Source organism: Homo sapiens, chromosome 1, assembly GCF_000001405.40.
Source record: "Homo sapiens chromosome 1, GRCh38.p14 Primary Assembly".
In the NCBI taxonomy this organism is placed as follows: Eukaryota; Metazoa; Chordata; class Mammalia; order Primates; family Hominidae; genus Homo; species Homo sapiens.
The window spans coordinates 207,854,845-207,878,761 of record NC_000001.11 but is presented as its reverse complement, the minus strand read 5'-3'; the positions used below and the strand labels follow the sequence as shown (position 1 = coordinate 207,878,761).

Genomic DNA, 23,917 nt, shown 5'->3' with positions numbered 1-23,917 from the left:
TGCTTGAGGCCAGGAGTTTGAGACCAGCCTAGGCAAATAATGAGAACCCCTGTCTCCACAACAAATTAAAAAATTAGCCAGGCATGATGGCACGTGCCTGTAGTGCCAGCTACACAGGAGGTGAGGCAGAAGGATTGCTTGAGCCCAGAAGGTTGAGGCTGCAGTGAGCTGTGTTTGTGCCACTGCGCTCCAGCCTGGGCAACAGGGCAAGATTTTGTCAGAAAAAAAAAAAAATCAAGAAACTGTGTGAGAGAATCCATGTTTTTTTTTTATTATTATTATACTTTCAGTTTTAGGGTACACGTGCACAATGTGCAGGTTAGTTACATATGTATGCATGTGCCATGCTGGTGTGCTGCACCCAGTAACTTGTCATTTAGCATTAGGTATATCTCCTAATGCTATCCCTCCCCCCTCCCCCCACCCCACAACAGTCCCCAAAGTGTGATGTTCCCCTTCCTGTGTCCATGTGTTCTCACTGTTCAATTCCCATCTATGAGTGAGAACATGCGGTGTTTGGTTTTTTGTCCTTGCGATAGTTTGCTGAGAATGATGGTTTCCAGCTTCATCCATGTCCCTACAAAAGACATGAACTCATCATTTTTTATGGCTGCATAGTATTCCATGGTGTATATGTGCCACATTTTATCCATGTTGTTCTAAGCTTCTGAATTTTGGGGTAATTTGTTATGCAGCAACAGATAACGAACACAGACAAACCTCAAAGGTGAGTTAGAAGGGAATATGTCGAGACAGGAGAACCATGAGCCTGGGATCTTGAGAATATGTCATGGAAGACAGCCTGGAATACGGTGGCTAATACTACTGAATGGCAGAGGATTGGAATTTTCAACAAAGAGGTGATTTATAACCTTGGTGAAAGCAGTCAGGAGAGTGGGGGAGGGCAGAGACCAGATTATAGTAGGCCAAAGGGCAAATTAGAAAAGCTGTAATTTTTCCATTATCACATTTATTGAGGGGAAAAGTACAATGAGTATCACAATCCTAATTTTAGGTATGAGAAAGCCAAAGTCACATTGCTAATATGTGGCAAAATCCTCCTGACCGTTCCACCAGTGATATATTAAATAATTTTCTCCGCTAGCATGGTGGCTCATGGCTATAATCCCAGCATTTTGGGAGGCTGAGGTAGGAGGATTGCTTGAGGCCAGGAGTTCAAGACCAGCCTACGCAACATAGCAAGATCTGTCTCTATGCAAATAAAAAATAATAAAAATAAATTAGCCAGGTGTGACGGCGCATACCTGTAGTCCCAGATACTCAGGAGGCTGAGGTGGGAGGATCACTTGAGCCCAGGAAAGAGGTCAAGGCTGCAGTGAGCCATGATCGCACCACAGCACTCCAGCCTAGGCAACACAGTGAGACCCTGTCTTTAAAAAAGAAAATTCTTGGCCAGGCACGGTGGCTCATGCCTGTAATCTCAGCACTTTGGGAGGCTGAGGTGGGCGGATCACGAGGTCAGGAGATCAAGACCATCCCGGCTAACACGGTGAAACCCCGTCTCTACTAAAAATACAAAAAATTAGCCGGGCGTGGTGGCGGGCGCCTGTAGACCCAGCTACTCGGGATGCTGAGGCAGGAGAATGGCGTGAACCCGGCAGACGGAGCTTGCAGGGAGCCGAGATCGCCCCACTGCACTCCAGCCTGGGCGACAGAGCGAGACTCCGTCTTAAAAAAAAGAAAAAGAAAAAGAAAAAAAAGATTCTCTCCACCTACATTCATTACCGTTTCTGGGAAGAGTTCTGATAAATTCAGTTTTTGCAACCTTGCTCCATTTCCAGTGATATTCTTGAATCCCTTATGATTGTGGTGACCCAGCCCGCTTCCTAGCTGGGATGCTCCTTCATCTGGTTCTGCCTAACTCACCCCTCAGCCCCCACTGCCTTGGGTAAGTCCTTAGAAAGAGAACTGACAAATTAAAGTGAGACATTCTTTCATTCATTCCATAGCTATTTATTGAGCTTCTTAGAAGAGCTTCAGCTACCTGGCTAGCATTCTTAGACATCAATGGGCAACCAACTTGTCATTGGCAGTTTTACATGTGAAGTCAGCACTCCACAAGCAAAAGAAAATCTGCCTTAGCTTCCTAGAGAGGGGGGCCCTACTCAAGGTTGAATAGAGCACAGTAAAATTCAGCAACTGCAGCATCAACAAATGAAGCAATCAGGGTAATCATTCAGCAGTGATTAATAGCAACATCTCTTCTTGGGTCTCAGACATGAAGCTATACATAGGTAGCTATTCCTAGCTCTAACTCTGTTTTAATGTATTTGGCCTTCAGTCAATCAATTCACCTTCCTCTGACCCATACAGTGTCCCCCGTGAAAGGTTTCCTGAGTAAGATTCACCCTGGGGATGCAACCCACTTCAGACCTGCTTGAGCTGCACCGAGCGGCCACATGGTGTCGTGGTCACCCCCTCTGGCTTTGGAGTCAGACATGCCTGCATTTGGGGTCCAGCTCTGACATGTTAGCTATGTCACTTTGAGCAGATTACTTTTTTAACCTTTTCCATCCTTGGTTTCCTCATCTGAAAAAAAAGGGGGCAAGGGCTAATATCCACCTCATAGTATTACCATATGTATAACAGGAAGAAAAAAATGTAATGTAAAAAATGATTGCCATATTTCTTCATTCTGGGGGGAGCAGGATTCCTCACAGAGGTGCTTCACTCATTTGTGGAGGAATAAACACTTTGTTCAACTTTTTTGGTTAAGAAAAGCAGCTGAGGATCCAATTCTCAGCTCCTTCTCTGATCTCAGAGTGAGAATAGCCCAGAATGGAGATGTTTGTTCAAAAGAGTTAAATTTCCTTTGTATAATAAAGTAACAGTAATCAGATATTTTCAGGGAGAGGTGGAGGGCAGTAGAGAGATGGAGGGAAAGGATTGGGGAAAGGGAGAAATGGCTGCAGGCAGGGCTCTGGGAGGCAGAGCAGCCAGGAAAAAGGGTGCTGGGCACGCTAGTGTGACGATTTTCAGCACTTCCTGGTCCGAGTGGTGCTGTCACAGTCCTATGTTGCCCTGACCTTTAGTTAAAGTCTTCCAGGCAAAATGACCTTAAGTCCTGGGAGTCTTTGGGGAAAGAAGAAAAGAAGGGGCCCGCTTGCCATGAATGAGAGTGATGTGATAAGAGGACAACATTGTCAGCAGGCAGGTGAAAGTGCCCAAATTCAGCTGGAGCAGGAATTCATAAGGAAAAGTGATCACAAAAAATGTCACTCCATGCCCCAAGAGTTTTTGGAAATCTTGGCTGGGTGTGGTGGCTCACACTTGTAATCCTAGCACTTTGAGAGGTCAAGGCAGGAGGATCACTTGAAGCTGGGAGTTCGAGATCAGCCTGAGCAATAAAGCAAGACTTCGTCTCTACAAAAAATACAACAACAACAACAACAAATTTAGCTAGGCATGGTGGCTTGCACCTCTCACCCCAGATACTCAGGTGGCTGAGGCTGGAGGATCGCTTGGGCCCAGGAGTTCGAGTCTGCAGTGAGCTATGACTGGGCAACAGAGCAAGACTCTGTCTCAAAGTAAAAAAAATAAAATAAAATAAAAATATATCTTGGGAAAACATGGACTTTCCAGACTTGGGTTGTTAATAAAACATGATTCAAGAACGCGGGTAAAAATTAAGTTACATAAGGATTAAATGAGAGAATGTACTAAAGCAAGTAGCTCAGAGCCCACTTCTTGATAAGCTTTCAACTTAAAATAGCCCTTATTATTATGACTTAATGTTCAATTTCCTCTTTTCTTCACCCCTTTTACTTCAAGGGCTCACAATCTACTTAAAAATTTCGATATAGTCACTCATTTATTCTACAAACATTTACCAAAGTCCTTTGATGTGTCAGGTAAGTTAAATAATTTCAGGCAGTAGTAATTGTCATAGCTAATGTTTTTGAGGGCTTAGTATATACTAGGTACTGTGCTAAGTGCTTTACATAGCTTTTTAAATTTAATCCTCAACAGTCCTAGGGAGGAACAATTATATTCCTACTTTACAAATGAGGTTAGAGAATATGGCACAGTGAGGTCAAGAGACTTGCCCCAGATCACACAGCTAGCCAGTGGGAGAGCCAAGGTGGAACCCAGGCTGTTGAATTTCAGTGCACACTTTTTTTTTTTTTTTTTTTCCTGAGACGGAGTCTCGCTCTGTCACCCAGGCTGGAGTGCAGTGGCGTGATCTCGGCTCACTGCAACCTCCGCCTCCCGGGTTCACGCCATTCTCCTGCCTCAGCCTCCCCAGTTGCTGGGACTACAGGAGCTCGCCACCACGCCCAGCTAATTTTTTGTGGTTTTTGGTAGAGACAGGGTTTCACCGTGTTAGCCAGGATGGTCTCAATCTCCTGACCTCGTGATCTGCCTGCCTCGGCCTCCCAAAGTGCTGGGATTACAGGCGTAAGCCCCTGCGCCCGGCCTAGTGCATGCTTTTAAGCTCCACGCTACACTATTTTGTATTTAATTTTTTTCTTTTTGTGTCTTCTCATGCTTGTTTCCTAACTATACTGTTTTTTAATGCAACTGACAATGTGTGTGAGTTATGGCGTGCAGAGTCAGAGGGATGATGAGGGAATGGCCACCATGGGGACGTTATCCTAGAAGAATGAGTGGGATTTTCTTGCCTTCTTTTCCCTTGAACCTCATATTCCCCTTCCAGCTCTAAGCACTCAAGATGGAGTGGCAGTAGGATCCCAACACTTATATCTGTCCAGAATTGGTCATCAGCTGGCTTGAGTTCTCCCATTCTGCCTGTGCCTTCCCTTAGCAAGGGAAAGAACAAGATGGAAGAGAAGGAAAAGGCTTGATTGAACCAGCCAATAGATAATTAGAAGCTGACTATTTTGCAATAATGCAGCACAACAGCAATAAATAAATCAATCACTTGGGGGGTGGGGAATGACTTCCCTATAATCAGCTATTAAAGACTTGTACCACTAATTAGTCTATTAATTAGAACTGTTCTCTTCCTTCCACATGTTATCAGCCTGCCAAGGCAGAGAAAACTCAGCCCCGGGGGCAGGAGATAAGAGAAGTAAGACATACAGAAGTGGCAGATTCAAACAGCTGGGCTTGTGTGTGTTTTAAAAGCACAGTTCTTAGTGCCCCGGGCATATCCACCTGCTAGTAGGAAAAGAACGTTTATCAAAAACCAAAAGGCTGTTGTCTTTGTTGAGCAGAAAGGGGAAAAAAAGATTTAATCTTTAAAGAGAAAAACCACTGTAACCACACTCAGGGATCTGTGAAGGGCAGTTCCACTGGGTGTTCCCTACAGCACAGGACACAGTGAGAAACAAACATGCTTAGTGCCAAGGCAGCATAATCAGAAGACCGAGGGGCAGAGGCACTCTGCTCCTACTATGTGCCTGGCACCACCTCCGTTCTTTATGTTTGTAATATCTTGTCTGATGATTTCATCTACATTCTCAGATGCCCTTGAGTTATTTCTGGGAGTTCCCAAAAAGGGACCTCAGATGAGCCCTCACAGCTGTGGTCACCAAAAGATGGCTGCTCTGCTCTGCCTCTCCTGTTGTGGCTCTCAGTGGTTCGTGCTCCCCGCCCACCAAGAGCTTGGGAAAGCCTCTCATCACCGTGCCTGACCTTGTTTTGCAAGCTCAAAGGGCTCTGCCTGGGTCCAGAAACTCACAAGTCATTCTTCAAGAGTTCCAACAAGCTCTGAGCCCCACAGCCATCTACATATCCCCGACAAATGCACATTGAGGAGTACTGCAGCCTTCATACTCCTTTTCTCACTTTCCCAGCTCCTCCGATCTGCTCTGTCCCCTAGTTACTAAGCAGACATCCCCTTGCATTCATATGAAAAATAGCAGACACAGGGTGGGGTTTGGGGGCAGGTGTCTCCACTAGCAACAGCTCACCAACAGTTGATAGGTTATCTTGCTTAATCCTCCCAACAGCCATGTGATGGGCTATCAATCCCATTTTGCAGAATGGGGAAACTGTGGCTCAGAGAGGTTAAGCAATTTGGCCAGGCTTCCATGGGCTGTGACAAAGCACTTGGTAAGAGCTCAATAAACATTTGCTGATGGACAGAATTGAAAATATGGAGGAAATGGAAGATCTCCAGCTTCTGAGAAGCTCAGAGCCTGCGGGGGTCCAACTACACAGTAAAGGGGGCTGTCAATTGAGGTAGCCCCATTAGAGTAAGAGAAGGGGCAGAGATAGAGAGCATAGGGTCAGACCCAAGGCCAAGGCCAATTCCTCCCCACCCCATTCTTTCCTATCTTGGTAACTGTTGATATATAGTCCATTTTCTACCAACAACTCACCTCTGCCCCCTGTGCCTCAACAAACACATCCACACACACATAAAAACCCTTCAGAAGCGGTCAGTGGTGACATTTATGAGCTGCATGATCCTCAGGATGTCAACATGTACGTGTCCCAACATCGATACCTACTTTGGGGATGGAGAGAGGAGCAGTGGTGATGTGGCGGAGAGAGTCTGAGCTTGAAATCCCATGTCAGGCCTCTGTTCCTTGGCAACCATCTGGGTGACCTTAGGCAAATTGCTTTACCATGTCTACCTTCAGTTTCCTTATATGCAAAGTAGGAAATGTCAGCTGTCTATTCAAAATGTTATTGTGAGGATCAAGTGAAGTAATACAATACTTCTAACATATATATATATAGAGAGAGAGAGAGAGAGAGAGAGAATTTTAAAATTACAAAATACTTTGTTACACATATATCTCTGGCCACCTTCAGAGCAACCCTAATTATTATTATTTTCATTTTTTAGATAAGGAAATAAAAAACTCAGAAAGATTGAAATTCACTTGAAAACAGTGAATAGTGCTATTATTAAAAAGCAGTAGGCCTGTCCCACCCTATCTGACTTTTAGATTATGAAGCACCACTGCATTTACCCCCAGAGTCTCTCATCTGGGCTATGTGCCATGTTCAAAGCTTTCATTCATTTAATAAATATTTATGTGTTCCCATTTGGCACTAGGTATTGTGCTAGGCATTGAGGATACTATCGCAGAGGTATTAGTGTGGCAGGGAAAGCAGACGTCATATAAGAACAATAACAATATTGTGATTTTCATATTATAGCAGAGGAAGGGCCAGGTGGTGCAGGAGGAGACAGTTGGGAAACCTGAGGAATAGGTGAAACAAAGTCTCAAAAAGTCGGGGACAGCCAGGTGCGGCAACTCATGCCTGTAATCTCAGCACTATGGGAGTCTGAGGCAGGCAAATCGCTTGAGCTCAGGAATTGGAGACTAGCCTGGGCAACATGGCAAAACCCTGTCTCTACAAGATACAAAAATATTTGCTGGGCATGGTAGCGCATGCCTGTAGTCCCAGCTACTCAAGGGGCTGAGTTTGAAGAATCACTTGAGCCGGGAAGATCAAGGCTGCAGTGAGCTGAGATCACACCACTGCACCCCAGTGACAGTGACAGAGTGAGGCCGTCTCAAAAAAAAAATTGGGGGAGGACTTTTATCAAGATGGAGAGAAACATGGTGTTTAGTACAAGTGAAGCATATAGGTAAGAGTGGAGGCTGTGCCAAGACAGGAGGCTGGAGAGTCAGTTGGGCCCAGATCTAGGAGGCCTTGTGAGCCAGGCAAAGGAGTTTGAACCTCATCCTTAGTCCAGAATGAAACTGCATAAGAGTTTTACGTAGGGAAAGGATTGATATATTTGCAAGATCCTTCTAAATGGGATATTGTCTTAGTCCAAGCTGCTACAACAGAATACCACAGACTGAGTGGCTTAAACAACATTTATTTCTCACCATTCTGGAGGCAAGGTAGTCTAAGATCAAGGCATCAGCAGATCTGTGTCTGGAGAAGGTCTGCTTCCTGGTTTGCAGTTGGCCATCTTCTCACTGTATCCTCCCGTGTTGGAAAGCAGAGAGGGAGAGAGAGAGAAAGAGCACACAAACAAGCTTTAGGGAGATACAGACATTCAGTACACAGCAGATGTGGAGACTGGATCTGGGCCTAGTGAGGCTGGAGGCAGGTAGGCGAGTTAGGCTAGAGACAAATGCAGAAATCCCAGCAAGAAATAATGGTGGAATGAGCTAGGAATAAAGAGAGGGCCAATCTTAGAGATTTAAGATTTAGGAAGTAGAATCAGGATGTGGTGATTGATTGGCATATGTGCAAGAAAGGAGGGAAGTGAGATGGAAAAGTCAAGGATGACATCCACATTGCTTGTGCACCAGGCGGGTGGGGACATCCCTCACTGGACTAGGAGACACTGGTGGTAGAATATCTGCTATTTGGTATGTGTGTCCTGCATGAACTTGTCTTGCAACTTCATCCAGGAACCCCTAAATTATGGCTGCCTTGCCTGGAGGAGCAGGAATGAATGAGATAAGCCTATCAACTTGAGGATTCTGTTTTCCAGACGCCTAGAGGTCCATGTGGTGGAGCATCAGGAAGGGAGGAAAGGTGCAGGTAGAGCAAAGGCATTTGCTGGGCCTCCTATTCTCTCAATCCAATCTCTCTGATTACTTAAGAACTGTTTGTCGAAGGCATACCATGTAAGGCCCTTAGTAGTTGCAGAGGGAGAAACTGATCTTAAAACAGTTTTGCTATCTAGAAGGAGATAAGAAAACCAACCACAGAAATAAATACAGGTGTGTTTATAACATGTTAACAGCCATAAAAGACATACTCTCAGAAAACTGAGGTCATAAATGACATTGCTGATTGGGAAAATCAGAGAGGAAGAGGTTTTCGAGTTGGCCTTAAAGGACAGGTGGAATTTCTACAGGCGGAAATGTGAGGTTGGGCGTCCAGTGGAGATATCCCTGAAGGAGGAAAAAGCATGAGATAAGATGGCAGCGTATTCAGGTAATCACCAGCTCGCTCTTTCTGCTTAGGGTATCTGCACAAAGTGAGATATTAAGCTGGGATCCACGGAGCTTTGAGGAGTTTCAGAATTCCCTGAAATATTGTGCAAAATTATATTTCTGTATGCATGTGCTTTTTTTGAAGACAGGGTCCATAGCTCTTCTGCAATTCTCAGAAGGGTGTAGGTACAAGAAAAGGTTAAAAACAGCAGTTGAAATTTCCGAATTAGAATTTACAGGTAGGCTGGGGCATCTGTGCATGTGTGTTCTAACAAGCTCGGGAAGTGACTCAGTGCACACCTCGGATCTCTAGACGGGCCCATGGAGGCCTTGAGATGCCAGCCTCGAGCGCTTCCCACCCATTTCCCACCCCTCGATTCTCCACCCCCATTTTACAAGGAGTCACCAGCATCCCCACAGTCTCCACTGCCCTGGAAGAAATATGGCGAGGCAAGGTCAGAGGAACAGGGGGGAAATCAGAATATCTTGCAAAGACTCTGGAGTCCCCTTCAGAGACAGGGTGGGTGGGAGCTGCTCTGCCCCGAGTCTAGCGACGGCCACACGGCCTGACAGGTCTCCCGCCCCGCCGCAAGCCCATGGTCAAATTCTGGGAATTTCCGAATCAGTTGGCAGGCCCGGCTGCTGCAGATTTTCCCGGACACGAGCGTGCAGCGCCCGACGCGGCCGCTGGGTGGCGCCGCGCGGGACGCCGAGCGTGGGAAGCGCGGGCGCGCGGGCAGGCTGAGCTCACACGCCCGGGAAGCGGCCGCCGCGGAGCCGGCGTCCGCAGCGGCTGCGCATCTCGGGCCTGCAGCGGGGCGCTTGGCGGGCGGGGGCCGGGGGAGAGCCTGTTTGCGCAGTACCCCCGGAGGGCGGAAGGCCGCCGAGGTAAGAGCCGGGACTCGGCCAGGTGGGAGTGGGCACCTTGGGCCGGGCCTGCAGGGCGGTCCCCGAGCGTCCCGGGGTAGGGTGGGCTCCCTGGGGACGATGCCCAGGGCCCCGGCCGCGCTCCGGTCGCGCCCCACCCCGGCTGCAGCGCGGCCTTGGGGCGCTGCTGGCCTCGCCGCGGGGGTGGGAGCGGTCGCGGCCTGGAGCAGCTCCGGGCGGGCCCCAGGCTCTGGGGCCAGGGCCAGCTGCGCGCAGGGGTGAGTGAGCAGCCCCCGGGCCCTCAAGTGAGCCCCTGTCCGCTCCCCACCTTGCATTTCTCCTCTCCGCAGTGGGCGTGGTGCCCCTTTGCTGCAGAGGGGGCGCCCAGAGTTGAGGAAGGCTGCGGGGGAGAACGCAGAGACAGGTGGTTGAGGGGGCGAGGGCTGGTGCGCCAAGGCTCGAGGTATTAATGCGTATTTCTTTTTCCCCCCTTCTTCAGGGGGCGCGGAGGTCCGTGTGGAGGAGGAGGCGGGAAGGCCAGAGGCATAGCTCAGGAGAGGGCAGGTGCTGCGGGAGATCACTTGGCTCTGTCTCTGTTCAGCTGCCCCCACCCCTGCCAAATTAATAAAGTGGGTGTGGTGATGACGGTGGAGGAGTTTGATTAAGACCTGGCCCAAACTGCCCAGAACTGCCCCAGGCCGGCCGCCTAGTCCCGCGTGTATATCCGGGAGCCGCAGACTCTGAGCATTCTGTAGAGGGAGGGGGAATATTACCCGAAGGAGCTACAGCCACTGAGGCAGCTCCAGAGATAGGGGCTGCGGAGCAATCTTCAGGCTCACAGCCCAAGTTCATAGATGGTGAATTGGCCAGGAATGGTGGGAGATGGGGGCTGTAGGGAAATAGGGTAATTTCCTTAGGACCCCTTCCTTCCAGCTTTGCAACCGTAGACCAAAATTTGGGATCTGGCATTTGTCAAATGTGCTTAATTTTTTTTTCTTTCCCTTTCGGTTTGTTTTGTTTTTTAGAGAAACAGCAAGTGACAGAGCAGAGGAACGGCTGGCCCAGCCAATCCTGGAGCTGCTGTTGCAGCACTTGTTCCCCAAACAAGTGCTCCTACATTCTGGTAGGAGGACAGAGAGGAGGGGGCTACTGGTCCACACCCCTCCCCTGCCGAGGACCCCATGGCTGCTCCCCTGCAGGAAAGGCAGCTAGGCTGCCTTAGGCCGGATGGGCAGAGGCTGCCATGGCCCAGGGTGGTGACGGTTTTGCGGCCCCTCCCTGCTGCCCAGAGTGGGAAGAAGAGCGCAGAGCCTGGCAAGTTTCTCTCTGTGTCCTCTGGGCTGGAAGGAGCAGGTATAGACAGGGCCGAGGCAGCCAGGGCCTGGTGCTGCTTTGGCATTGGTGGCAGGAGGGCTGAACCTCCAGCCCCTTGGGTTTGGTTCCACCCCTGGCCTGTCCCTGGCACTCGACAACTGCTCCTGTGTGCTTATTGGTGCCACCATGTTATATAACGCTTATATAATCTTCCAGGGCGAGCACTGTGTCTCCGCTCTCAGGTCACGCAGACACGGTGTCCGTGTGGGAGGCAGGATCTGTGGAAGCCTGTGGGTGAACCTACTCCCCCGATCCCCAACCTGGCTCCTTCTCCTGATCTCAGCCATAGGAGGGGGGCTGGGAGAGCCAGGTCCCTCTCCACACCAGCTGTGTGGGATGAGAACACGGTTGGCTGGGCAGTTTTCCTCACCTTCCTGCCCCACTAGTCCCACTTGCCCTGTCTGGTAGAGCAGAAGCCATCCTTGTGCTTTGATACCAGCTCTTTGTTTTGGGGGACCCCTGGCATGGCAGGTGGCATGGCGAGATGAACCCCAAAATGTTGCAGTGGAAGAACACATGGTACTTAGGGTTGGATAAAGAGAGGGAGAAATTAGCTCTGCCTTTGAGGAGCAAGGGTAACTAGAAGGATGGTGGTGGCATTATAAGAGATTTGGAGCAGGCCTGGGGCTAGGGGATGGTCAGGGAAGGGTGTACAGGGAAGTAGATCAGACAGCAAAGATAAACATGGTGTTCTTTTACTGTACTCTCCACTGGGCTGTCCCTGGTTACCGGGGCAACAGAAGCAGTGATGAAAATCATGCCTTTCGTTCAGTGGAAAAATTTGGCTCCTCCTCCCGGCTCTTCCTTCTCTAAATCGCCTGTGACCCATTGAGAGGGTTATGCTTCCAAGGATCAGAGAGAGACCCCAGCATGTTTTCATCATGCTCCCCTTTCCCCAGTCTTCTTTATCATCTCCCCTCTTCCTGCATCCCCTGTCTCCCCCCACAGCTCGGCAGTTGGCAGTTGCGTAGGAGTTGGAGTAGATGCAGGGGGAAGGGCATGGACGTCATCACAGGGCAGGGTGAGCAGAGCGTGGGCAGAGATGTGGATGCAGGAATGCCTGGCACATGAGGAGGGTCCAGCATTGATGAGCTAGATGGAGCCAAAAGCCTGTTTCTGGGCTGGTAGGAGCTGAGGTGGGCAGGGTGAGATGATGGTGGGCCTTCAGAGTTCAGCAGTCTGGGTTCGAGGGAGTAGGAACTAGGAAGGGCCTGAGGTTTCTTGTGCAGATATCTTGTGATGAAAACTACCAAACCGTATCCCTTTTTGAAGTTAAGATTTTTGTTTAAGTTTTTTCTTTCATCTTGTGATGAAAACCGTGATTCATTCATTCAGCATTTATTGTGTGCCCCCCATATTAGGTGAGGTTCTGGGAACTGGGAAGCCGAAGGTGAGTAGCACTGGACCTTGACCTTGAAGAGACTGTGGTGAATGAAAGGAGGATGAGTATATGGGGGAAGATCTGGCATTGTTGCAAGCCTGGAATCTGGGGTCCCCAGCAGGAGACTAGCAACATACCAGATCGGAGGTGATAGGTTAGGGTGGAGCCTGTGGAAATGAAGAAGAAGAGATAATTTGGAGTGCTACTCTGGCTTGAGGACAGGACGTGGGGAAGAGAAAGTGCTGAAATTTTGAACCTTAGTGATTTATAGAAATAGAAACATTAGAGTTCAAACTTGTTTTGGGGAGTCATGTTTGATTTTCTTTTAGACATGTTGCCTTCAAGATGATGGCAGGGTATCCAAATAAAAATGTTTATGGTCAGGCAAGTAAAATATGCAATGGAAGTCAGTTCTGGGAAAAGATTTGAAGGATATTGGATTATGAAGCTTGAAGGTGGGTAGAGGTAGATCCTAGGGCCTGGGGCATTACCTGGAATTGAGTGAGGCTGTATGCCTTGTACTGGTTTATTATCCCAGGGCTTGCCCAGACCCTGGACATTTCTGCTAACAAAAACCCACATCTTCTACCAAACCATATCCCTTTTTAAAGTTAGGATTTTTGTTTAAGTTTTCCTCTCCCTAGTAACTATGTCCAGGTATACCTGGAAAAACACACACACACACACACACACACACACACACACACACACACACACACGCATGCACTTATTTCCCCCAAGGTCTTGTGCCATTTGCTTATAGCTCGGGGACGTGCTGTAGAAATGTGCCACAAGTCTTTGGCCTCTTCTAGCAAGCTGTTTATCACCCTGGAGGAGTAAGAGCACTGGACAGAGTCAGGAGACTTTTGCTAGCTACGTGATCTTGGACACACCACTTCCTTTTCCAGGCCTAAGTGTCTAGTCTTAGGGATCTAGCTTCTTCCAGTTCTGAAGCCCTCTGATTTGATGTCTGGAAAGCTTTTTCCACCTTTGCCCAGGTTTCTGATGCAGACCAGGCTTTTTGAACAAGTAGCCTAGATTTCTTAGTACCTTGTGGGAGGGACTAGTAGGGATGGAGGCCTAGTCCCCAGAGTGGGTCCCTGTCTTCAGTGTGGATAGGAGCCCTCCGGGTGGATGGGAGCCTCTGTTCCTCTTTGGAGCATGGAAATACTGGAAGAGCAGGTTTTCCCAATGACCAGGGATTGCAAACTGTGGCCCGTGGGCCGGATTCCTGTTTTTGTAAATAAAGTTTCACTGGAACAGAGACACGCCCGTTGTTTGTGTATTGTCTGAGGCTGGTTTCATGCTACAAGGGCATAGTTGAGTAACTGCAAGGGAGCCTGTATGCCCCATAAGCCTAAAATATTTACTATCTTGCCCTTTAGGATAAAAGATAAAAACTTGTCAACCCCTGCTGTAGACTACCAGAAAAGTGCTTGGCCTTTTACTGAGGATGCTTATGATGGCTATTTCAGATTTCTAGGGTTCTTAAAGATTCTGCATTGGGCCTGTCTTTGTGATCCCATGAGAGGATGATCTGGTAGTTGAAATAGTAGATTATTAGAGTCAGCTCAAAAATAGTCACTCTGTATCTAGGAAAGCTCTTTCATTTTCAGCCTTTTCCCTGGAGCCTGGAGGCCTGAGTTCCTCAGCAGGACTGGGTTTGACAAGCTACTGTCCCTCTCATTCTGATTTCCCTGGGCAGTACAGAGGATATACTGGACTGACCCAAGTGTTGGGTCAAGGATATACTGGACTGACCCAAGCCCAGTGTTGAGTGAGGAGAAAGGAGGCTCATTGGTTCCGCCTGTCCTGTAGGATCTTTCCCCTGATATCTCTATTGTTTCTGATCTTACTGGCACCTTTAGTGCCAAGGTCCTGGAGATGCCGCCACAGAGAGAGCCTGCAACCCAGCCTGGCATGTCTGTCTGAACCTGGCACTCATCCACTCTGTCAGAATAAGGCCCTGGGCTTGGCGTTTGTGGGACATGTGTCTGTGTTGGCTTGGGACTGGAATCAGCATTCATTATTCCTGCAGCCAACCTTCATGGAGTCCTTCTGTGTCCTAGTTTCCACCTTTTTGACCTGGTCCTCAAGCCAGAGTCTTGCTGAAACTCCTAGCTAGGAACAGGGCTAAAGTTCTCGCTGCTGCAGAACAGCAGCAGCCCAGCAGTTGGGGCAGTTCTGCTCAGATAGGAAGTGAGACACGTTGGTAGCAGGAGGAAACCACTTGCTGGAAGTAGCAGGGGGAACGGAGGTGACTGAGGTTGATTCTCGTTACACTTGATAGGGAGGAGGCCAGCAGCAGGAGGAGGGAGCAGACAATCCATAATAGCAAAGAAGACAGAAGTCGAGCACACCTAGAGCTGCTTTTAGCTGGTAATGGTAACTCTGGCTCTAGGAGCATTCCTTCATACCTCCCCGACACAGTTTCCCCAGAGGCTGTTATAAAGAAAACATTCTCTCTTAAATATCTTTTCATTTGTAGGGTTTAGGGTGACCCCATACTATATGGTCTTAAACTTATGTTGAGACAACTGCACTGACTTGGATAAATAAATATCATTTATCAGATATTTATTAAAGATCTATTATATGGCAGGCGCTGTGTGAAGTTCTCAGGATACAGAGGTAAATAAAAGATTCACAGTTTGATCTGGAAGGTTTATGGGCAGCTGAACCAATTTTAATTCCATCTGCACTGGATCACATGCTTCAAGAGAGCATGTCTGTATCTGTCTTGTCCTTTGCTGTCACCCCAGTGCTGAGTGGAGAGCTTGGCACACAATAGGCCTCAGATATTTATTGGCTGACCCATCCTTGTTTGATCTGTCCTGGAAATGTGCAGGAGGAATCTGAGTGGGTAAGTGGAGGAAGAGAGGTGCTTAACGCAGCAAGTGTGACAAATTTGGGGGAAGATGGACATACTTGGATGTATGACGATGAGTGCCTTTAAGTGACTGCCTTTAAGGAAAAGAGAAGGGTTAAAGCTGTATGGGCATGACAGAATCCATTGGCATTAGGGCCATGAGAAGGAAGGAATATAACCTGGCTACAAAGGTGGGTTAGAGGTAGTCAGGATCATTGGGTATAGCAGAGGGCCACCAGAATTGTGAAGAACTAACCAGCGGCAGAGAAGGGAAGAGTGGAAGGAGAGTAGGAGCCATTGTGAGAGGAAACATGGAGACCTCTTCAGGCCTAGGATGAAAGCAGAAATGACACAAGTGAGTCTCAGATGAACATGATGGCAGGGATAAAGAAAAGATGGGACTCTCAGCTCTGTTCTGCTGGTCTCCTCAGAAACCACTGTGTCCATGTATGACTAAAAATGCCTCTCAGTTATTTTCCAACAGTGCGGCAAATGCGAGGAAATTAACTATGGTTTGACATTATGGTTAGTCTTTTTTTTTTTTTTCAAATTTGTCAATGGAAATTTTCACAGGTACACAAAGATAGAGTTAGCGTAATACACCTCAATGTTCCCATCCCCCAGTTTTTCGACTTGTAATCAACACATGGCTTTTCTCATTTCTTTTATACCTTCACCCACCTTTTTCTTACTCCCTTCTTGGATTATTTTACAGCAAGACCTAGATCCTGTATTATTTTATCTATAAATACTTTTTAATATATCTCTAAATGATAATACCTTTTAAAAACTTAACCCTAGTGGTATTATTACACCTTGAAAAAGCACAGTCATCCCTAAATATCTCCTGTCATCCAAATATCCAAATGGTGTTTAACTTTCCTTCGATGTCTCAATTTCTTTCTTTCTTTCTTTTTTTTTTTTTTTTTTGAAAACAGCCAGTTGGTTTGAGTCAGGCTCCAAACAAGATCCTCATGTTTCATTTAGTTGATGACAAATCTTCAAGGCTCTGTTAATAAAGATTATGGTCATTCTTAAAAGAATTTATGTTTTGCAATTCTACCTTTTAGATTTACTTAGCTACCCACGATTCTTCCCAGTCAGCTGCCATCAACAGCTTCCTGAGTTTTGTTAGATGATTTTTATGATTTTGAGCATTTTTTCATGATCCCTCTTGCCTTTATGGTTTAATGTAGCTAGTCATTTTTCCCTTCCTTCAGTAGATGTTTCTTGGGAGCCTGCTCTGTTTCAGGAGCTGTACTGGACACTGGGCCTACACCTGTGAAAAGGACAGACAGGGCCCAACTCCTGGAGCTTACAGTTTGACCACAGGAGAGCTGCTGCTTGGCAGTTTTCCCCGTGCGTTCACCCCAGCTGAGCAGTGTGACCACAACCGTCACTTCTGTGCAGGCAGACCTGCCACGTTTTTATAGCTTGGTGTTCATGCTCTCATGCTGTCATTTTATGTGGTTGACAAAGGTGCGCCTAGAATGTTCAAGAAGCCAGGCATGGCTTCTGTGGCAGGCCTGTGTCTCATAGCCACACGACCCGGCATTCTAACTGTGGTGCTGCTTGGGCCTTGTGTGTATCCATGTAACACTTTTGGGCTTGAGTGTGGATAGCTCTGAAAGTTAAAATGGAGAGCTTCCTGAATTGGTGGATTGTGGAGAGGCTAAATGAACACGTTTAAAGAGGGGGGCTCTGAATTGTTACAGGGCTTGGCAAAAGCCAAGTGTTGCTAATATGTTTGAGCAAATTGGATGTTTCTGTGGCTTTGTGGACTTCAGGTTGGTTTGGGGCTTTTGCCTGTTCCAGTTAGGCTACCTGCCAGCCTTTCAGATGACAGGCCCACTTTCTTGATTTGCTGTTCGTTGTGTATTGGTTAGCCAGTCTGCCTCAGTAGCTAAATATGATGATACAATTCAGGCCTGTCTTGCTGATAAAACTTTTAACTGATTTACATTTCTTTATGTAAGTAAATAATCAGACTCTGACTCCTGTGATGCTCTGATTTTGAGAATGGTCCATGATTCTTCTTATATTTTTGCATTTTCAGTTCAAATGCAACTGTATTGTAGTTACTGGATTATAGTGTCTGAGCCTTTAAAAAAATCTTAGTTAATAAAAGTATATTTTCAGATATAAAACCTAGTATCCTTATGATACATATCTCCTTGTCACTGAAGGCATGTTCAGCCTCTGATGATATGTTTTGTTTTCTTTCAGTTAAGTGGTCTTTAATCGTTTTGATTGTGTGCCCATATCAGTTAAAACTTTTGAGCAATTCCCCTTGTTTGTGTGTGTATTTATAATTTATAAAAAGTAGTGCTGTGCTAAAATACATTATAGTATTATAAAACACAAAACAAAAGACTTCAAATGGCTAGGATATATTGTATTCCCTACCTTCTTCCTAAATGAACTCTTCATGGTTCTGTCCGAGGGCAGCCTTCTACTTTGCCCTAAATTTCAGTTACTCTCACATATTCGACATTGCCCCAGCCTGTCCCCTCCTCCTTGCATCACCACTTTTTCCCCCTGCTCGATCGTTTCCAAAGGCTTTCTCATCTTCAAAAAGTCTTCTTTGGTCACCTCTCCCAGCTACTGCCCCATCATCTGTCCCTCCATATTTTCAGTCCTTGCTGTGTTCACATCCTCTCTTGACTCACACCACTCTGATGAAAGTGCTCCTGGCAAGGTCCATGGTAACTCCCATGATCCTGACTCTAGTGGTCACTTCTTCATCTTCCTCACAGGAGCTCTTCAGTTTGGCACCGCTGATCATACCCTTTTCCTTGACGCTGTTTCTTCACTTGGCTTCCAGGGTGTGTATTTCTGGCTTTCCATCTGCCTAATTGGCCATTCCTTCTCGGCTTCTCATCTCCCTGACCTCTAAACATTAAAGGCCCTGGGCACCTCCTCTCTATCTTCTCTCATTCTGTCTGTGATCCTCTCCTGTTGTATGGCTTTTAATACCATCTATATGAGTGATCTCCAGAGTTTGCTTCAGTGTAATCCTGGGAGATCAATAAGATTGACCATGAGCTGATCATTGTTGAAGCTGGGTGATGGGTACCTGGGGGTTTATTATACGGTTCTCTCTCATTTTACTTATGTTAGAAATTGTCTTTCTTTTTTTTTTTTTTTTTTTTTTTTTGAGGAGTCTCGTTCTGTCGCCCAGGCTGGAGTGCGGTGGCACAATCTTGGTTCACTGCAGGCTCCGCCTCCCGGGTTCACGCCATTCTCCTGCCTCAGCCTCCCGAGTAGCTGGGACTACAGGTGCCTGCCACCACGCCCAGCTAATTTTTTTGTATTTTTAATAGAGACGGAGTTTCACCGTGTTAGCCAGGATGGTCTCGATCTCCTGACCTCGTGATCCACCCACCTTGGCCTCCCAGAGTGCTGGGATTACAGGCGTGAGCCACCGCGCCCAGCCCAGAAATTTTCTATAATGGAAAGTTAAAAAGTCTATATGCTGTTGACCCTTAATCATTTGTCTGCAGCCCAAACTCTCTTCTGAACTGTAGACCTGTGTCTCCATCTGCCTGTTTAGTATTTCAGCTTTGATATTAACAGATATTTCACTAAACGTGTCCAAAATGGAACTCCTGGTTTCCCTCCCCAATATGTTCTTCCTGCAGTCTCCCCATCCCATTTATGGGAATGCTGTTCTTCCAGTTGCTTATCGAAAACACCTCTGGTCATGCTTGATTTCCCTCTTTCTCATCTGTCCTTCATCCAGTTCATCAGTAAGTCTTGTTGACTCTACCTGTAAAATATATCCAAAATTTCATCTATCAGAACTACTTCCGCTGCCACCACCTTGGTCCAAGCCACCATCCTCTCTCATCTGCTTCTTTATTGCCCCTTAGAGGCTGTAGTCCTCCCCGCAGCGAAAACAATCCGTGAAATGTTAAGTCACATCATGCTCTGCTGTGCCCAAACCCTGCAGTGGCTTTTCTTCTCTCTCAGTAAAAGCAATCACCCTTACTGTGGTCCATAAGACCTCATAGCTTATCTCATCACTGCCCAATAGAAATATAATGTAAGCTACACATGAGGGTCACGTAGGTAATTTAAAAGTTTTTGATAAAGGAAAAATGAATGGAAAATGAACCACTCGAAGTTAATTTTGATAATGTATTTTATTTAGCCCAGTATGTTAACAGTATTTTCACTTCTGAGATATGTTACGTTGCTTTTGTTTTGTTTGTTTGTTGTACTAAGTAATAGTCAAAGCACATCTCCATGTGAACTAGTTGCATTTCATGTACTCCATAGCCTTACATGGCTAGTGGCTGCCATCTTGCACAATACAGGTCCATACGACCTTACCCGGCTTTATTACGTTACTTCTGTATCTATCTCCTGTTACTGTTTTCAACTTGCACTTCGCTCCAGCATCACTGGCCTCCTGCTGTTATTTAGGTATACTAGGCATTTCCTGTTTTAGGGCCTTTGTACCTCCAGTTCCCTCTGTTTGGAATGCTTTTCCCCAGATAGCCCTGTGGTTAAATCTCTTACTTCCTTTGGGTCTGTGCTCAGATGTTACTTTCTCAGAGGGTCCCCCAAGCCCCCAGCATTCTCTAGCCTTCCTTGCATCCCTTTCATGTAGTGTTTTTTTCACCAGTTGGCATACTATTTATTTATATTAGTATATTTTCTCTCTCTCCCCACTGGAATATGTGCTCCATGAGAGAAGGGATTTTTGTGAGTTTTGTCCCCTGCTATATCTCAGAGCATGGAATAGTGCCTGACATGTGTATATAAGAGATGGATATTTGTTGAAGAATTAAGTGAAATTATCTATTAAGAATGATTCTTTTTCACTAAGAACATTGCAATTGAGCATAATTTATTATTTCAGAATAGCTTGGTGTCATTTGCAGCTAGAAGTTCTGTTTTGAGTCAGGATATTTCAAAAGAGACCTCACAATGATATGCAGATGCCCATGGCAGAAATTCATCCTGGATTATACTTACGAAATCTTGATAACTTGTTTTTTAGTCACATCCACTGTTTTCTGCAAAGGTTTTTGTTGAAATCCAGCTAATATATTTCAGTCAGTCTTGATATCAATCAGTTGTTCTTACAAACTCATTGCAAAATTTAATACTTTTATATGTTGAATTTAATAAATGGGTTCAAGACCCCTGAAATACTTCATTTTGGGAGATTTTAAAACAAGTTTTGATGTTCTGTTTTGAGTGTGTGCAGATAAGGAGATTTTAGAGATGACATCCTTACATTGAAATTGGCAACATTATCACATAATGGTAGAAATGATTTCCAAGTGCCTGTTTTAAAAGAACAATGGCTTTCTTACCCATTAAAAAAAATTCTACTTTCACCATAAAGATACAGAGTATTTATTTGTTTGTTTAAAAATACCCATTAAGTAGCATTCTACTTACTGGCACTCATTACAGAAGAGGTCAGCACATTTTAGAACTCTTGTTTTCTGGTTTAAAAAAAGTATAATTCCTCTTTTTTTTTTTTTTTTTTTGAGACAGAGTTTTACTCTGTTGCACAGGCTAGAGTGCAGTGGCACAATCATAGCTCACTGCAGCCTCCAACTCCTGGGCTCAAGCAATCCTCAGCCACCCTGGTAGTGAGAACTACAAATGTGCTCCATGATGCCCGGCTGATTTTTAAATTTTTGTGGAGACGGGGGTCTTGCTGTGTTTCTCAGGCTGGTCTTGAACTCCTGGTCTCAAGAGATCCTTCTGTTTTGGGCCTCCCAAAGCACTGGGACTACAGGTGTGAGTCACCGTACCTGGCCTGATTCTTCTCTAAGCTGAGCAACTCTTAGATATTTTTACCACGAGATAATTAGTGACAATGTGGTCAGATGACGTTCGGGTCTCACCGTCTTATTACAAAGGACTGTTGTTTATTGTATTGAAGATGGTGTCTCTAACTTTGCTTCACTGGGCAGATGTAAACTGTACTAAATCAACAGGCAACTGGGGGTGTCACTGTCTACCCTTCTGCATCTGGATCTCCTACTCAGACACAAGGATTCCTCTGGTACCTTAAATACAGCAACCACCCAACACACAAATTGAAGGAGTGTGTCAGTGTCAATTCCCGTATTAAATAATAGTAAAATTTAATTTTTTGTATTTTGGTAAAGTATAAACATTGTAATATTTTCTTCTTCATCCTAGTGGATCTGCTTATACATGCCACATTAGAGATGATTGCTCTGATTGTTTCTTCTATAGTAACCTTGCTTCCCTAACAACCTTTGATTGACATAAAGGTTGAGTCTTGTCTTTTCTGTTGTTTATAGTACCTGACAGTGCTGTGTTTCACTAATATTTGTTGACTGAATAGTGCTGAGGAGTGTCCTGTTCTCTGACCTCAGTACCATAAGGTCATATTTCTTGGACAACAAAGTCCAGTAGCAGATTTCTTTGGTGGCTGCTAGAGCCATTTCATTAACAGTATTGAAAGCTTTTGTGATATTAGAGAAACAGCTCTGTGGTCCTGTTACTGTTGGCTGTGCATCCTTCTGCATCTGACAGGTAGAAAGGGATGGTGGCAGCTCTAGTCACTGCCATGTTGTGATTTAGGAAGTAGATGGTTGTGTTCAGATGCTCTGGAAATGAGCTGGCAGAGATTGCTAGAAGAGATGGCTGTGGTATCTAGAGCAGCCAGCTCTCTTCTTCATGAGAGGGGTATATGTCTTTGATGCATTGTTTGATGTCTTCCATCAGTTTACATGCTGAAAGTATTGGTGCAGATATCTGAGATGTATGCTTCTCCTCCACCTGGATAGTCCAGGAGGTAGGTCAGCCAGACACATCTACTTGGGCGTTGTTTTTCTAACTTCCCTGACTGCATGCACAATTTGAAAGATCAGCAGCTGGAATGAGAACTGCAGGCTGTGGCTGAGGAACAGAGGCCCCATGCTCTCTTTGCTGCAACAGAGACATCTCCCAAGGTCCCCTGGACCCTGTGTTGCTGAGTCAGGCTTGCCCTGGTATGCTAGTCTTGCTGCTTGGACCACTGGTGAGCCCATCAGCATTCATGGATTGATGTGCATTTACTTAGGATGGCCTCTGTGAAAGATTCTGTGTCTGTTTCTCTTTTTGGATGGAGTGGGGTGGGGATGGAGAAGGAATAAGTGAGGTAGACAGATACCTTCACCTAAAATAGTGTGTAAATGTGACACAAATGAAGTGTAAGAAACTGTTGTATTAGCCTTAAATGGGGTTGGGAGCTGGAGGATGTCTCTGGAAACACAAGGAAGATCTCATCCATCTTGTTTATGGCTGTATCCTCAGAGCCTAGCATGATGCTTGGCCCCATCAAGTGCTCAGTAAATAGGTGTTTGTTAATAAGTAAGTGTTCAAGGATGAGAGGACTTCACCTGAAAGTTCATGCCAGACCACCACAAAACTGAAGGAGGAAATGGCTTGTTGGCAGAAGGAGGTTGGGATGTTCAGAGAGAGTGTAAGTGGCAGAGGAAGGGCTGTGTATTGGAGAGGTAGAGGCAGTCTTGGGAGGCCCTCGATTAACTTTCTAAGAATTTGGTTTTGGTGGCTCTTAACTTATTTTCCTGCCAGTTCATATTAGAAGTTGCATGGAAGCTATAGTCTCTCCAGGAGAAAAAAATAATAAAAGCCCCAATTTGGCATACACCGTCAGAGGATTCACAGATCCCAAGTTATAAAAACCTGTTATAGGGGCCAGGTGCGGCGGCTCACACCTGTAATCCCAGCACTTTGGGAGGCCAAAATGGGTGGATCACCTGAGGTCAGGAGTTCAAGACCAGCCTGGCCAACATGGTGAAACTCTGTCTCTACTAAAAATACAAAATTAGCTGGATGCGGTGGCGTGTGCCTGTAATCCCAGCTACTCGGGAGGCTGAGGCAGGAGAATTGCTTAAACCCAGGAGGCGGAGGTTGCAGTGAGCGGAGATTGCACCATTGCACTCTAGCCTGGGCAAAAAAGAGCGAAACTACATCTCAAAAACAAAACAACAACAACAACAACAACAAAAACAAAAAAAATCCTGCTATAGGCTGGTGAGCCGTCAAATGCTCACTGCGCTCTTATGGTGGTGATAAGATGCTTTTTCTCCTGGAGTCTTTGGGACTTGCCCAAATGCACTGAGTGGACATTCTGGGTTTGGAGGGCGCTGATAAGCAGCAAGCATGACAGTGGTTCCGAGGAGCTTGGGAAAGCAGTGGGGAATGGGAGTCTGCACACTGACACAAATGGAGAGATCCAGCGTTTGCTCCACTTAGCAGGGGACAAAAATACCTGTTCTATTACTTGGAAAAAATAAAAAAAAAATAACCTTTACAACTTACTGATTCAAAATATTGAATGCTTATGCTAAGTTTTTTTCTGTAACATGATTTCCAACTTAGATACCCACCCAGGCCATAATGATGGATTCAGAGAGGCAGCATGTTACATTTGTGGGAATGGTGAGTGTGGAAAGGAGTCATTAGAGTTTTATATTACCATGGCATAGGGTTTGTAGAATTCCTTAGCTGTCCTCATCCATCAGGGAGGGCTGTCTGGAGGAGGAGGTATTTCGCAGGCCTCTTGGAAAAGCAGGA

The 23,917-nt window shown here is 46.1% G+C and overlaps 6 annotated features.

The window, feature by feature from the left end:
- Positions 5,212–5,281: an enhancer, noted in NCBI's record as "active region_2460". NCBI's record gives its function as "activates an Ori minimal core promoter by ATAC-STARR-seq in GM12878 lymphoblastoid cells {active_cell/tissue: GM12878}" and the evidence as "EXISTENCE:reporter gene assay evidence [ECO:0000049][PMID:35858748]".
- Positions 5,422–5,471: an enhancer, noted in NCBI's record as "active region_2459". NCBI's record gives its function as "activates an Ori minimal core promoter by ATAC-STARR-seq in GM12878 lymphoblastoid cells {active_cell/tissue: GM12878}" and the evidence as "EXISTENCE:reporter gene assay evidence [ECO:0000049][PMID:35858748]".
- Positions 5,622–5,681: an enhancer, noted in NCBI's record as "active region_2458". NCBI's record gives its function as "activates an Ori minimal core promoter by ATAC-STARR-seq in GM12878 lymphoblastoid cells {active_cell/tissue: GM12878}" and the evidence as "EXISTENCE:reporter gene assay evidence [ECO:0000049][PMID:35858748]".
- Positions 9,551–9,940: a silencer, noted in NCBI's record as "silent region_1776". NCBI's record gives its function as "represses an Ori minimal core promoter by ATAC-STARR-seq in GM12878 lymphoblastoid cells {active_cell/tissue: GM12878}" and the evidence as "EXISTENCE:reporter gene assay evidence [ECO:0000049][PMID:35858748]".
- Positions 10,211–10,390: an enhancer, noted in NCBI's record as "active region_2457". NCBI's record gives its function as "activates an Ori minimal core promoter by ATAC-STARR-seq in GM12878 lymphoblastoid cells {active_cell/tissue: GM12878}" and the evidence as "EXISTENCE:reporter gene assay evidence [ECO:0000049][PMID:35858748]".
- Positions 10,471–10,520: an enhancer, noted in NCBI's record as "active region_2456". NCBI's record gives its function as "activates an Ori minimal core promoter by ATAC-STARR-seq in GM12878 lymphoblastoid cells {active_cell/tissue: GM12878}" and the evidence as "EXISTENCE:reporter gene assay evidence [ECO:0000049][PMID:35858748]".